The 15,485-nt window shown below is 40.7% G+C and overlaps 4 annotated features.

Annotated features, from left to right (window-relative positions):
• Nucleotides 4,631-4,831: a silencer, noted in NCBI's record as "peak3937 fragment used in MPRA reporter construct". NCBI's record gives its function as "represses an SCP1 promoter by STARR-seq MPRAs in K562 erythroleukemia cells {active_cell/tissue: K562}" and the evidence as "EXISTENCE:reporter gene assay evidence [ECO:0000049][PMID:32103011]".
• Nucleotides 6,547-7,094: an enhancer, noted in NCBI's record as "H3K27ac-H3K4me1 hESC enhancer chr2:175921111-175921658 (GRCh37/hg19 assembly coordinates)". NCBI's record gives its function as "activates a minimal SCP1, AML or CMV promoter by ChIP-STARR-seq in naive H9 embryonic stem cells {active_cell/tissue: H9 hESC(naive)}" and the evidence as "EXISTENCE:reporter gene assay evidence [ECO:0000049][PMID:30033119]".
• Nucleotides 6,580-6,781: a silencer, noted in NCBI's record as "fragment chr2:175921144-175921345 (GRCh37/hg19 assembly coordinates)". NCBI's record gives its function as "represses an EF-1alpha promoter that drives an FKBP-Casp9 reporter gene in an ReSE screen in phorbol 12-myristate 13-acetate-treated (for megakaryocytic differentiation) K562 erythroleukemia cells {active_cell/tissue: K562(+PMA)}" and the evidence as "EXISTENCE:reporter gene assay evidence [ECO:0000049][PMID:32094911]".
• Nucleotides 7,095-7,640: an enhancer, noted in NCBI's record as "OCT4-H3K27ac-H3K4me1 hESC enhancer chr2:175921659-175922204 (GRCh37/hg19 assembly coordinates)". NCBI's record gives its function as "activates a minimal SCP1, AML or CMV promoter by ChIP-STARR-seq in naive and primed H9 embryonic stem cells {active_cell/tissue: H9 hESC(naive and primed)}" and the evidence as "EXISTENCE:reporter gene assay evidence [ECO:0000049][PMID:30033119]".

The raw sequence follows: 15,485 nt of genomic DNA on the forward strand, positions 1-15,485 counted from the left end.
CAGCAAGATGAAGGGGAGAAGGGATAGGAGAGGGAACACTCTTTCCTTAAGAGCATGACCTAAGAATTACATATGTGATTTATACACATTCAATGAGCCAGAGTTTAGTCACCTGCCTGTACCAGTGATGGGGAGGCTCAGAAATGCTAGGAAATGTAGTTGGGCCAGTTATTAAGCTATTGTCTTCCAGATCCATTTCCAGCTTTCTACACTCTGGTTTTTGATGCTGAGATTGGGGCTCTGCAAACTACGGTTGACCCTTGAACAATGTAGGCATTGGGAGTGCCTCAGTAAAAAATCTCAGTATGACTTTTAACTCCGCCAAAACTTTACTAATAGCCTCCTGTTGATGAGAAGCCCTATTGATAACATAAACAGTTGATTGTTCCAAAGTTTGAATGTTCTATGTATTATATACTATATTTTTATAATAAAGTAAGCTAGAGAAAAGAAAATGTTATTAAGTAAGCCATAGGAAGAGAATATATTTACATTCATTAAGTGGAAGTGGACCATAATAAAGTTCTTTTTTTTTTTTTTGAGACAGAGTTTTGCTCTGTCGCCCAGGCTGGAGTGCAATGGCGTGATCTTGGCTCACCGCAACCTCCGCCTCCCGAGTTCAAGCAATTCTCCTGCCTCAGACTCTCAAGTAGCTGGGATTACAGGCATGCGCCACCACCCCAGCTAATTTTGTATTTTTGGCAGAGACGGGTTTTCACCATGTTGGTCAGGCTGGTCTCGAACTCCTGATCTCAGGTGATCCACCTGCCTCGGCCTCCCAAAGTGCTGGGATTACAGGCATGAGCCACCACGCCCGGCCCATAATAAGGTTCTTTATCCTCATTGTCTTCATGTTCAGTAGGCTGAGGAGGAGGAAGAGGAGGGTGGGTCTTGCTATGTCAGGGGTAGCAGAGGCAGAAGAAAATCTGTTTATAAATGGACTTGTGCAGTTCAAACTCATGTTCAAGGATCAGCTATACCTTCTCTTTTATCAGCTGACTTCATGGTAAGTTCCACCAACACAGGGTACGAGAGGGAAACTGGAAGGTAAGAGAAGTGGAGAAGGGAATTGCTTCTTCCATATTTGCTGGCTATACATTTCATGTTGCCCAACAATGGTTCTGCACCCCAGTAGTATCAGTTGGTTCGTTTCCAGTCTCCGACTTTTTTTCTTTTTGAAACAGGGTCTTGCTTTGTCACCCAGGCTGGAATACAGTGGCGCAATCATGGCTCACTGCTGTCTTGACATCCTGGGCTCAAGTGATCCTCCCACTTCAGCCTCCCAAGTAGCTGGGACCACAGGCATGTGCCACCCATGCCTGGCTAATTTTATGTATTTTTGTTGCCCAGGCTGGTTTCAAACTCCTGGACTCAAGCGATCCACCCACCTTGGCCTCCCAAAGTGCTGGAATTACAAGCATGAGCCACTCTGCCTGGCCCTCCAACTTCTTTTGGCAGTCCCAGAACCAGCCTTATTGTCCTCTCCTCAGCGGTCTGAGTCCCTGCTCTGTGAGACCCTCCCTCTGAATTTCTGAGTTCTGTAATTTCAATCTTTTCTCTTTGTCTCCCAGCCGCAGAGGTTGTGGCTGCTTCTTGCAGTTATTACTTCTGTTTTACTTCAGTGTTCTCTTATTTTTTAGTCTTCAATATGTTTGTTTTCTGTTTTCTTGTATGGACACTACCTGAATGATACATTAGTCTATGGCTGGGTGGTTAGTTAAATCTTATTAACATTTTGTAATTCTTATTGCAATTCCAGTGTTTAATGTCCATATAGTTGCCAATACAAAGGGAATCGGTCACTTCACACATGCATTTAGAGCCGATATACTACACATTTAAGAGTAATATGAATTGTTAGTACTGCAAAATGTTTCTCAGGCAGCGTGTGCATCTTTTGACAATATACAAACTGGACCAGGAAAAGAAGAAAATAAGCATTTGAGATAACTGGGAAATGAAACTTCTTTGTGCAGGAATACATTGCATTCACATTGAGAGAAAATATTTGACAACTTAATTTTTCTTTTTTCTTACCTAAGTACTTCCACCACTCAGATCTTCCCTGAACTATAAACTAGTGTTCATCTCTGACACTGGCAATGACACATCCCACAAAAAACTTCACAACTCTTTGATGCAGTCACTTTTTTGGTGGCATATGAAAGATGTAGAGCGGTGTTTCTCTGAGGTCTGAATGGTGTGAGTTATGTGAGCAGATGTTTGAGGTTATGGGTTGTGCTGTGCTAGTGCTGAGTACCAGATCTTGAGTGACAGAAGAACCCTCTAAAGTGTGGGATTCAGGGAGCCACCTCTCTTGTCCGGGTCTGAGAGGACTAGAGTGGCAGGGTTGGAGAAGCCACCTGCTCCTAAACGCTAAAGAATAAGAGACATTGAGAAAAAAGTTGAATGCCAAAGGCCCATCAAGACTGAACCCTGAAGCAAAAAATCGAGTCTTCTCACAAGATAATGGCTTCAAGCTGCCACTAACTGGAAAAAGAGAAAGAGAAAGAGGCCTGGGAGTGAGAAAGAGGCTAATGTCGTGAACCTTACTTGATGTGTTTGGAAAGATATATCTAGGAACAAATGGTGCGTGTGCCTACTGGCTCATGAAACTGACCTGAAGCAAATAAATTTTAAGCCAATTGAGCTTTTGAGAAAGTTATATTGCAGAAGAAACCATGAGCCTGTGCTAAAAAGCCTTTAAGAGATTGAAACAATCCCTGCCTCCCAAATTTGCAGAGGCAGGAAGTAGGCTGTGAAATCTTGAGGCTCCCAAGTAAGGCATAATCTCCAATGCCCACCACAGATGTGACCGAGGAGGATAATGAACATGGAAGAACCACCAGAGGGGTGACCCAGGGGACACAAACGAAAAGGAATTCCACTAACGAGTGGAAACAGGTCTAATCAAGGAAATTCTCCAGCTGCCTCACAATGCCTGTCCTATCAGATTTCATAATTGCTACTGACCAATGATTGCTGTGTGTCCTCCACCCGTCCTTTTTACGAAGGAAAGTTTCTGTTGTAGTTATCTTGACCTTGATATGTAGTGATATAGCAGGGAGTGCTGAGGAATCCCAGGGAAGAAACCATGTTCACTCAAGACTGCTCTCCCTCCACAGTGTGGAGATACTGCTGGGGAGCCCTGCAGTCCCCATGCCAGTGAGTAGAGTCTTACCGGGATCATTCTTTCCGGGCTCTGGCTTTATAATGGAAGCCCAGTATCAGCCTCTCACTTGCAACCCTGACTCCTCTCCTCACCTGACTGTAAGGTATATTAAAAGTCTGGTATATAAGGACAGGTGAGCTCCAGAAGACATCTAACTGCAAATCCAACATTCTGCTGTGGCATCCTCTTTATTTATAACACCCTTCTTGCTCTGTAACACAGATGCATATGAAATATTTTAAATATTCTCTATGCCATTTTTACATATTGGAGGAGATAGAGTTGTATTCCACATTTGCTCTGTCTGCCATCCCGAAGCTCTAAACAATAGCAAACTTGCAAAATGAGAATTCCAAAGTTCCAAAAAATAGATGTTGAATTAAATTATTGGGAAAGAAGAGACATTAGTTTTATTTATTTTTCTTTTAAATTATATTTATTTCATCTTATCCTATGTACCTTTTGCCATAGTTGTAATTAGAACATAAATCATAATTTTAATGCTTGCATAATATTCATTGAGTTCCCATGCAATATTTTTGTAGTGAATTTCTTAGTGGCTAGGATAATATAATGCTTATTATTCATCAACTAGAACATAAATATAATCTACTAATTTATCATTATATAGCTCTGACCTTAAGTTCTTAAAAAATGTTTCTTAATCTTATTTCTTTTCTTCTAAATATAATTTCTCTAATAGGTTTTCCATTTAGAAGATACAACTTTTATTCTTCCACTTTTAGAAAGAAGTTCTGCTATATTTTGAAGGTGAGATGCTTAAATTGGGTCCATTTTGGTTATTTTGGTTTGATCTGCAGGAGTATGATGTGGTACCAGATTGATAATCTTTTCTTTGTTCAAAGGAGTGTTTCTATTTCACTCAAATGAAGAACACAGAATCTCAGAAGCTTATTGAGTATGAGAAAAACTGGCCAGCAATAGCATTTTAGGATACAAAAGCACTAGCCACTTGTTTCAGACATTAGTCAATGAAATCTACTCTTGGTATAAAGATTTGCTGATCTTTAAGTTTTTGAACAGCCTCAAGAGAAGTAACACACAGAAATTTGGTCATGGTATTTTTTAAAGCAGGCTGCTATGAGAAAAACTGGCAATAGGCTACATTCAGTATAGTTTTAGTAAAAATTATTTGTTTTTTAAATCTAGCATTGCTGAATATTTTTTTAAAATTTTATTTTATTTTCTTTTTTTTTGAGACAGAGTCTCACTCTGTCGCCCAGGCTGGAGTGCAGTGGCGCGATCTCGGCTCACTGCAACCTCTGCCTCTCAGGTTCAAGTGATTTTCCGGCCTCAGCCTCCTGAGGAGCTGGGACTACAGGCGCATGCCACCATGCCCGGCTATTTTTTTTTTTGTATTTTTAGTAGAGGCAGGGTTTCACCGTGTTAGCCAAGATGGAAAACTTGATTTTAAATTATGAAACATATATAGAGAAAATTAGGTGAAGCGAAAGTACTGAGTGGGAGGATGTGTATGCAATCAGCTTTACAAGGTGTTGCAAAGTCACTCTTCAAAGTCACTGCACAAGTTTATGCTGCCCCCAGCAATGCATGGGAGTTCCAGTTTTCTCACATCCTCCTCACATCCTACTTGGTCACATCTGATTTATTTATTTTTCTAATGTGGTAAGTCATTTTTAACTCATTTTGCTTTAATGTACATTTCTCCAGTTATTAGTGAGGTTGAACATTTGAAAACATACTCTATTTATCAGCTGTTTGGGTTTCCTTTTCCATTTGTCTTTTTGGTCCTTTATCTATTTTGTTTTATTGGAGTATTTGCCATTTCATGTTAATTTATAGGAGCTCTTTAAAGAGAATATTATTTATATCTCTTTAAATTTTAAAAATGTCTTTTATATTGACCTTCATTTTTAACCATTCCTGGAAATTTTTATTTCTTTTTGTCAATCCAAGTTCATTTCTGCTATCATATTTCTTCTTCCTGAAGAACTTCCTTGACATTCTTGTAGTGCAACTCTGCTGGTAACAAATTCTTTCAGTATTTCCTTGCCTAATAGAGTATTTATTTTCCTTTCATTTTGAAAGGTTTTTTTTTTGATATAGAAATCTGGGTTGATCATTTCCCTGCAGTACTTTATTTATTTATTTATTTATTTATTTATTTAAGAAAGACAGAGTCTCACTCTGTCGCCAGGCTGGAGTGCAGTGGCGCGATCTTGGCTCACTGCAACCTCCGCCTCCTGGGTTCAAGCCATTCTCCTGCCTCAGCCTCCTAAGTAGCTGGGACTATAGGTGCGCACCACCACGCCCAGATAATTTTTGTATTTTTAGTAGAGACGGGGTTTCGCCACGTTGGCAAGAATGGACTCTATCTCTTGACCTCGCGATCCGCCCACCTCAGCCTCCCAAAGTGCTGGGATTACAGGTGTGAGCCACCGCTCCCGGCCCCAGCAGTACTTTTGTCTTCTTCTTCTTCTTCTTTTTTTTTTTTTTTTTTTTTTTTGAGACAGGGTCTTGCTCCGTCACTTATGCTGGAGTGCAGTGGCATGATCTTGGCTCACTGCAACATCTGCCTCCCAGGTTCAAGTGATTCTCCTGCTTCAGCCTCCCGAGTAGCTAGGATTACAGGCGACTGCCACCACGCCTGGCTAAGTTTTGTATTTTTAGTAGAGATGGGGTTTCGCCATGTTGGCTAGACTGGTCTCAAACTCCTGACCTCAAGTATTCCACCTGCCTTAGCCTCCCAAAGTGCTAGGATTACAGGCGTGAGCCACCCTGCCTGGCCTCCATTGCCTTCTGGCTTGCTTCAGTTTTGGACAAGAAATCTGCTGTTATATCATCATTTTCCTTTGTACGTAATTTTTTTCTGGTTGTTTTCAAAATTTATATTTAATTTTCAACAGTTTATGTATGATGTGTCTAGGCATGGCTTTTAAAAATTTATCTTCTTGGATTTCCCTAAGCTTCTTAGATTTTGTCGTTCAATGTTGTTCATATTTTAAAAAAATTCTTAGCCATTATCTCTTCAAATAACATGTTTGCCAAGTTCTCAATATGATATTGTTCCATAGATCTTGGATGCTGTGTTCCATTTTTTTTCTTTCTTTTTTCACTTTGTATTTCACTTTGGGTAATTTCCATGTACTTATCTTCAAGTTTATTGATTTTTTCCTTGGCTGTATTGAGTCTACTGATAAGCATGTTGAAGGCATTCTTGATTTATGTTACTGTGTTATTTCTAGCATTTCCCATGGACTTGTTCTTATCCTTTCACTTTTCTGCTAAAATTCCCCCATCAGTTCCTATATATTGCCCAATTTTTCCACTAGAGCCTTTAACATGTTAATTGTAGTTATTTTAAATTCTCTGTCTGTTTGGGTCATCTTTGAGTCTGATTGTTGTTAGCTTTGTATTTTGACGGTGGATTTTTTTGGGTATATATTTCATACTTTTTATTGAAATTGTGATTCCATGAACAGATAACCCAGCTATGCCAGACTTGTGTAGGACAACTGTATTGTGAATACTTTTTTTTTCCTTGAGAAGGAGTCTTGCTCTGTCGCCCAGGCTGGAGTGCAGTGGCATGACCTCGGCTCACTGCAACCTCTGCCTCCCAGGTTCAAGTGATTCTCCCGCCTCAGCCTCCTGAGTAGCTGGGATTACAGGTGCGCGCCACCATGTCTGGCTAATTTTGTATTTTTAGTAGAGATGGGGTTTCACCATGTTGGCCAGGCTGGTCTCGAACTCTTGACCTAGTGATCCACCTGCCTCGGCCTCCCAAAGTGCTGGGATTATAGGTGTGAGCCACCATGGCCGGCCTACTTTTTTTTTTTTTTTTTTGAGACAGGGTCTCAGTCTGTTGCCCAGGATGGAGTGCAATGGCGTGATCTTGGCCACCACAACCTCCACCTCCCAGGCTCAAGCAATCCTCCCACCTCAGCCTTCCAAGTAGCTGGGACTATAGGCACACACCACCATGGCTGGCTAATTTTTGCAGAGATGGAGTTGAACTCCTGGGCTCAAGGCATCAGCCTGCCCTGGCTTCCCAAAGTGCTGGAATTATAGATGTGAGCCACCACACCCAGCTAGCTGTGAGTGTTCTTTTTAATGTTCGGTATATTATGATGTTTTGACATCTTAAAAACAAAACTAAATGAAAAAGAACCTTTCTAGCTGGGGAATGACTGCCCCTCCTGGGGTTAGCCAAGTCTTATGCATAGCAAGGGCTCAGCCAGGAGTATGCCTTTGATCTGCAAACTGACCAATCCAGAGACTCCATGCCGCCTCTAGCAGGCCTGTACACCACAGGAGACAATATTCCTCTGCCTTAGTCATCCCAGGGCCAGGTACCAGGCAACTAGGCGCCGCTCCTATAGTTTAAGTCTCTCTGAAATTATTCAAACAAGCCAGTTCTAAGCTGTTCACCCTGCCCTGCCTTGCCTTTCCCATGGAAACCCCAATAAAGGCTCTGGCCTAGTGTGTTCCTCTTGCTCCTGTCTTTTGCCTCCTGACCACCTGGTGTCTTTACTGTGACCCTGCATGGAATGATGTGCCTCCTGTCTCTAGGTCCTGTGAATATAATTCACTTTGGTCTTGTCCCACCCACCCCCATCCTTTCTGTGTGTCTCCTCTTGTGGCTACACTTGACGGGCCATATTATAAAAGAATACAAAACAATAGTACAGACAGGTAAATGTTTATGCCTAGAAATGGGCATAGCTCTTATTCTGCTAGACCATCAGTGTGGGGGTTTGAGTTAACCCAGCCAGGAGTTGAGCTGGTTTTGCTGCTGCTGTGGTTAACCTTCAGTGTACTACCAGGTTCAAATTCCCCTGGCATAATCTGCTGTGGGCTAAGTGGACTGGGGTTTTTGTTTATGTTCCTAATCTACCTTCAACTTCAAGCTGCTGTGCTTTTGTGTCTCTGAAAGGGTCTCTTTCTAGGCTCATGCCTTCACCCACACGTAGATCAGTTTTCGTAACTGGGTGATTGCTAGCCTGGCAGTGGAGGTTGGGTGGGTTTGATTCTTGTCCTAGTCTAGCCTCAGTTTTGGGCAGGCACTGCGTTGGGGTGGGGCTTTCTCAAATATCCTGCCCCTTTTCCAGTAGCAGGAAAGTGTGGATGATCTGGACTCAGGATCATTTCTTGCTACTCCTCTAGGCATAGAGGATTTTTCCTGTTTTCTTCCACTTCCCCTGTGCCCTGGGATAACATGGCTTGTTGCCCTTTTCCAGAGGAGCTTAAGATGTTTTGTTTCTTTCCTATAGGGGAGAAGGTCTGGGTGGAGCTTGGAGCTTCCCCTAACAGTTTTCCCTCAGGGCCTGCACCACTGACGGTGGTTTCCTCAAGTCTCCCACTTGCCCCCAGACTTCGTTGTGAGGGGCTGATGGAGGCTTGTGCAGAACAGCCTGCAAGTGGGTGTAAATCTCTTTATAAAGTCAGTGGCTTCCAGGGGTTGCAGGATCCCATCCTTGGCCTTAGCAATTTGCTTAAAGTGTTAGCCGAGTTCTTTCTACCCATTTGTGTGGCTACCCCGTCTCCCCACACCCCACAGCTCCCATACCCTCCTCTTGGTAGGCCAGTGCTGCTGGTTTACCTGTCTTCCTTAGATTTCATGCTACTTATTTGCTTTGCAATTGCAGCTCTCTGATGGTTCAGGGAGATTTTTGACTTTGCAGATTATCTGGCTTTTTCTTCTTAGGGTGAAGGTAACACTTTCTAGCTTTCGCCACCCTGCCTGAAGGCCCTGTATTCTGGGTATTAGTGCATTTTTAATTAATGGGTTGAAAGTGTCTCTTAGTCTGTGATTTTCCCTTTTCTCTTTGTTTATGGTATCTTTAATTGGTCAGAAGTTTAAATTTTTAATACAGTAAAATTAATAAAACTTGTCCTTTACTGTTTTTACTTTTTGCATCTTATTTTTTAAATGGGTTCCCACCCCAATTTATAGTTACTCTCTCTTAAATATTTTTCTAAAAGTAAATTCTAAAAGAATTAATTTTTGTGATTGATGCAAAGATGGGAGTTAATTTTACCTTTTTCAATATAGCTAGGCAATCACGTTCTGTGATGAACAAAACGCTAAGATGGCCCCCAAGAGTTCTGTCCCCTGGTGTCCAGACGCTGGAATCTCCTCTTCTTGAGTGTGAGACTTGAGAATATGATGGGATATTACTTTGTGATTATGTTACCTAATTGGCAGAGGGGATTTTTGCATACATAAGTATGGTTCCTAATTAGTTTACCTGTAGTTTCTCAAAAATCTAGATTAACCTGGGTAAGCTTGACCTAATCAGATGAGCCCTTAAATGATGTTAGATTCAAAGTCAATGAGATTCTCTTACTGGCTTTGTGGGAGCAAACCACCATGTTATGAAGAGGAACACATGCTGGATACTGATGGGTGCTGAAAACAATCTCCAGTTGACAGCCAGCAAGAAAGCAGTGATCTTTGTTCTACAACTGTAAGGAACAGAATTCTGCCAACACCCAGTGAACTTGGAAGAGAATCTGGAGCCTGAAGTGAGACTGCAGGCCCAGCCAACACCTTAATTTTGGCCTTGTGAGACACTGAACGAAGAAGCCAGCTATGCCATGCCCAGCCTTCTGACCTAAAAAAAACTGTAACATAATGAATGAGTGTTGTTTTAAGCTAGTAAGTTTGTGGTGACTTGCTATACAAATAGAAAACTAATATATATATAGATAACTGATAAACACAGATAGAACACTAATACATCTTTTCCTCAGTGATTTTTAATGCCAGTCTTCTCTTACATCCAGCATCCAGTTATCGTGTGTGTGTGTGTCTATTTCTGGGATCTCTATTCTCTGTTTTGTTTGCCCTTCCAATGCTCTAACTTTAACTATCTGGATATATGGTGGGGTAAGTTGGTTTGACCTTGCTGTTCTTCAAAATTGTCTTGGATGTTTTTCATAATTTCTTTTTTTTTTTTTTCTTTTGAGACGGAGTCTCGCTCTGTCGCCCAGGCTGGAGTGCAGTGGCACAATCTCGGCTCACTGCAAGCTCCGCCTCCTGGGTTCAAGCTCTTCTCCTGCCTCAGCCTCCCAAGAAGCTGGGACTACACATGCACACCACCAGGCCTGGCTAATTTTTGTATTTTTAGTAGAGACGGGGTTTTGCCATGTTGGCCAGGCTGGTCTCAAACTCCTGACCTTACATGATCTGCATGCCTTGGCCTCCCAAAGCGCTGGGATTACAGGTGTGAGCCACTGCGCCCGGCTAGTTTTAGTCATTTCTTTTCCATGTCAATTTTAGGATGAACATGCCAAGTTCCACATAAAATTCTACTAATATTTTGGTAGAAATTATTAATATAAAGAATTTATACATTAATTTGGGAAAAACTGGTATCTGAACAATACTTAACTCTTCTAATCCATAGACATGTTATATCTCTTTATTTTAAGGTATTTTATAATTTTCTCATACAAATTCTGTTAATTTTATTTTTAGATCCCTTATAGTTTTAGATTCTATTATAAATATTATATTTTAAATTAGAATTCATTTTTAGAATTTAAAACAGGAAAAACAATAAATTATATACTCATAATTCAACTCTCCATATTTAGCTATAACATTTTATTTATCCCTAGTCTTTTTTTTAAAACTTTTTATCTTGAAAAATTTCAAACATACAGAAAAGCTGAGAAAATAGCACCATGGACATATATACATTCCTTCAACATTCAATAATTATTAATACTTTCTAATATTTACTTTCTTTTTTCTGAAATATTAGAAAGTAATTTAGGGACATAATAATACTTTAACCCAAACATTTCATCATGAATATCCTAAGAATAAGGAGATTCTCTTATACAACCCAATACATGGTATGTTGACTTCCACTTTGGGAAAATATGGAGTAAGAGGAACATGATTGATACTCCCACCTTAAACAACTAGCAAATTGGACAAAACATATAAAATAATGTCTTTTAGATGTTGGACAACAGGCACTGCTGGGCTGTGGCTCCTGACAGAAGGGAAACATAAAGCGAGCCTCAAGGTCAGTGTTTCCAGGGTGCAGCAACTGGGCCGGGAAACACAGAGCCATGTTTCCTGAGCTAGGGAAACACAGCAGAGCATGGGGAAGTAAAGTAGATAGAATAATGGCCCTCAAAGATGTTCATATACGAATCCCCCAAATCTGTAAATATGATATTATCTGGCAACGTGAAAAATAAGGTTGAAAGTAGAATGAAGTCTGCTTATCAGCTGTCCTAAATTTGCTACTGGACAGGGAAGAGTATCCTGGATTATCCATGTGAGCCAATGTAGCCACCACTGTCTTTATACATGGAAGAGAGAGGCAGAGGGGCAGGGAGATTTGAAGATGCTACACTGCTGGCTTTGAAGAAGGAGAAATGGGACCATGAGCAAAGGGAGTGGGCAGCCTCTAGAAACTGGAGAAACCAAGGAAATGGATTCTTCCCCAGAGCCTCCAGAAGGAACACAGACTTGCTGCCACCTTGCTTTTAGTCCAGTGAGGCCCATTTTGGATCTGACCCCCAGGGCTGTAAGATAATAAATTTGTGTTGTTTTAATCCACTAAATTGTGGTGATTTGCTACAGCAGAAATAGAAAACTAAAACAGAAAGTGATGTATATTAGCACTAGAGATGAGGGATCTCCAGAGATCTGCAGGAGAGACTCCTTGACTCTTTGGCTGAGTACTGATTTGTGAATGTAAGTCAATTAGAAAGTAAATTAGAGACACTATAGCACTCTACCCAAGGCTGGAGAAAGAAGTACACAGAACAATTTTCTGAGATCTCATTTAAGGAAGAAATACTTCCTGAATCTCATTTAAGGAAGAAATAATGCAAAATCTTCATAAACTTTCTCAAAAACCAAAGAGGAGGAAACACTTCCTGACTGATTTTATGAAGCCAGAATTACCCTGATACCCCTACCTTATAAGAAAACTACATAGCAATAACCCTCATGAGCTGATGTATGCAAAAATCCTTAGTCAAATTTTAACAACTAGAATTTTCACACACTGCTGGTGGGCATGTAAAATGGTACACACACTTTGGAAAACAGTTTGGCAGTTTCTTATGAATATACACTTGCCATAGGATCTAAGATTCCCAATCCTAGGTATTTACCCAAAAGACAGAAAAACATGGTCATGCAATAACTTTTACTCAAATGCTCATAGCAGCTTTATTCATTGCCATCAAAAACCTAGTTACCATCTAAATACTCATCAAGGGTGAATGGATATACATATTGTGATATAACCATACAGTGGAATACCACTGAACAATAAAAATAACCAAACTGTCATAGTCTGGTTTGGGTGTTAATGTTTCAGTCTGATTTAGGTGTTAAGCTCATAAAATGAGTTGGTGAGATTTTTTTCTGCCCATCCTCTGTAAAGTTATATATTATTTTTAAGTGATTTTGTAATAACTTCCCTATAAAGCCTCTAGAAGTAGATGCTTGTCTCTCTCATTTTGTTTTTTGATATTTAATCACCAATTACATTTCTTGATTGTTTACAGATCTATTTGGTTTTCTAACTTTTACAGAGTCATCTTGGATAAATGACATTTTCTAAGAAATTATCTTTTTATCAAATATTAAATTATTCCTATAGAGTTGTCTTTTAAGTCTGTGCTGAATTAATCCCCTTTTTATACCTAACTTTTTTTTAACCTGTTTTGGTTATAATTTTATATTTTAATTTTTTGTAGAGAAAGGGTGTTAGGTTCAAGTCCAGGTTCCAGCCCATGCTGAGGTCCAAAGGGAGTGGGTGGATGAATGGGAGATAGCTGAGAGAACACTCAGCAGCAGGAAGTGGGGGGAGCCACAGGTAGGTGAAATACAGCTTTATTCAGCAGCTCTCTTACACTGTCTGTCTCTGTTGCTTGCTCTAACTCTGCAGTTCTTGTCGCTCCCACACACAGCTGCACTCTCCTGCTCGCTCTGCCTTCAGGGTCACCAGCTTAACTCTTTCCCTCTGGGTGTAAGCAAGCCGAGCTGTGTCCTGGCTCCCTCTTGCCAGTCTGCAAGACAGACATCTCTGGCTTTCTCTCTCTTTCTCTGGGCACGAGCGCCTGAACAGTGTCAGCAGGGCAATTATACCTTTTACAGACAATAGTAGCGTAAAGCCCAGTGATGACCTTCCCGTGTTATGTACATAGCTGTGTTTACATTATACATGGAATTGTGCGCCTGCGTTCCAATCCTGCTAAGTCATACAGGATGTTTACCTCAGCCTATCCTTGACCTAAGCACATCCATTACCTTACATAGGGTCTCACTCTGTCACCCAGACTGGAGTGCAGTGGTATGATCATAGCTTGCCGTAGCCTTGAACTCCCAGGGTCAAGCAATCCTCCTATCTCAGCCTCCTGAGTTGCTGGCACAATAGGCATGTGCCACTATGCCCAGCTATTTTTTTTATTTTTTATAGAGAGAGGTTCTATGTTGCCCAGGCTAGTCTTGAACTCCTAGGCTCAAGTCATCCTTCCACCTTAGCCTACCATAGTGCTGGGATTACATATGTGAGTCATCACACCTGGCAAGAGGAAAATCTTAAAAAAGAGGCTAAAACTTTTAAATTGTAAGTGATTTTAAATTATACATGCCTATGCACTTATAACAGGCATACCAATATATTTTGTGCAAGTGTTTAAATTATTGATCAAACTCATTTTCAAAAATAGCTACTTTTGGGGCACGTATAAAAGCTTCTACAGATAGTAATAAAAATAACAATGGTAGCATACATTCTTTTTAAAATGTTATCTGATGTTTCTTTGTCACAGATATACTCCAGTCCATAAAGAATTGAAGTTTTATTTGAATTGGACTTAAATGCCATAAAAAAGATCTGAAGAGTCTTGTTTGCAGTATGTTAATGTAGGCGGCTGACGTGGTTGTTTATGATTCAGCATATTACCTCATGGTGTTGAAAGTGCTCTCAGAAACCACCACCTGAGCTGAATAATTTAAGATGTAATGTAGAAGGTATTTCCCTAATAATTTAGCCATGGGAGGAAGTCAATGTTTATCTGTTGAATTATTTTTTAAATGTCCTAATTAATTACAATAGAATAGTTATATTATCTAACTCACTTTATTCAAATTGATGTTATTTAATTAGACACTATGAAAATGAATTTTAATAAGCATACCTCCTAAAAATGGACCTAGGAACTAGCCACATGTTTAAATTACATAGAGATAAAAAACTAGTAGAAAAAAATCATTCAGTAAAATAGGTAATACAGTATTAACGATAATGCAAAGTTGGTTTAAGATAATGGCATTGGCCGGGAGTGGTGGTTCAAGCCTGTAATCCCAGCATTTTATCACTTGAGGTCAGGAGTTCGAGACCAGCCTGGCCAACATAGTGAAACCCCATCTCTACTAAAAATACAAAAATTAGCCAGGTATGGTGGTGCACGCCTGTAATCCCAGCTACTCAGGAGGCTAAGGCAGGAGTATTGCTTGAACCCGGGAGGTGGAGGTTGCAGTGAGCTGAGATCATGTCCAGCCTGGGTAAAGGAGTGAGACTCTGTCACAAAAGAAAAAAGATAATGGCATTCACAAATTTTCTCATTTCCTCATAAACATCATATAATGTATTTGCTTCATGAGAAACTCCTAATAGACAATGCTACCATCTTAAATTCTGCTAAATAAATAACATTAAAAATTTGGGGAGTAGGGGCAGGGCAAGATGGCAGACTAGAAATCTCCACTGATTATCCCCACAGCAAGGGCACCAATTTAACAACTGTCTACACACACACAAAATAAAACACCTTCATAAAAACCAAAAATTAGAAAACAAAACTGACCCAAACTCAGCTGATGCCCGCCCACGAAGGGAGCATTGAAAGCAGCCCTAGCCAGAGGAATCGCCGATCCCAGTGGCCTGAACTTAAGTTCCCAAAAGCCTCACCACCGCAGAGTGAAGTGCTCTGGGGCTCCAGATAACACTTGAAAGGCAGTCTAGGCCACAAGGAATGCAACTCCTAGGCCAATCTTAGTGCTGAACTGGGCCCAGAGACAATGAACAGCAGGGAACACAACCTACTGAGACACAGCCAGGGTGACTGTGTGAGTGCTGGCATCATCCCTTCCCTAACCCCAGGTTGCTCAAAGCTCCAAAACAACCCCATTTCCTCCACTTAAGGAGAGGAGAGGGAAGAGTGGGTAAGACTTTGCCTTGCGTCTTGGATCCCAGCTCAGCTACAGCTAGATAGGGTATTGGTCAGAATCATGAGGCCCCGTTTCCAGGCCCTAGCCCCCAGATACATTTCTAGACATACTCTGGAC

This window comes from Homo sapiens, chromosome 2, assembly GCF_000001405.40.
Source record: "Homo sapiens chromosome 2, GRCh38.p14 Primary Assembly".
NCBI classification, from domain to species: Eukaryota; Metazoa; Chordata; class Mammalia; order Primates; family Hominidae; genus Homo; species Homo sapiens.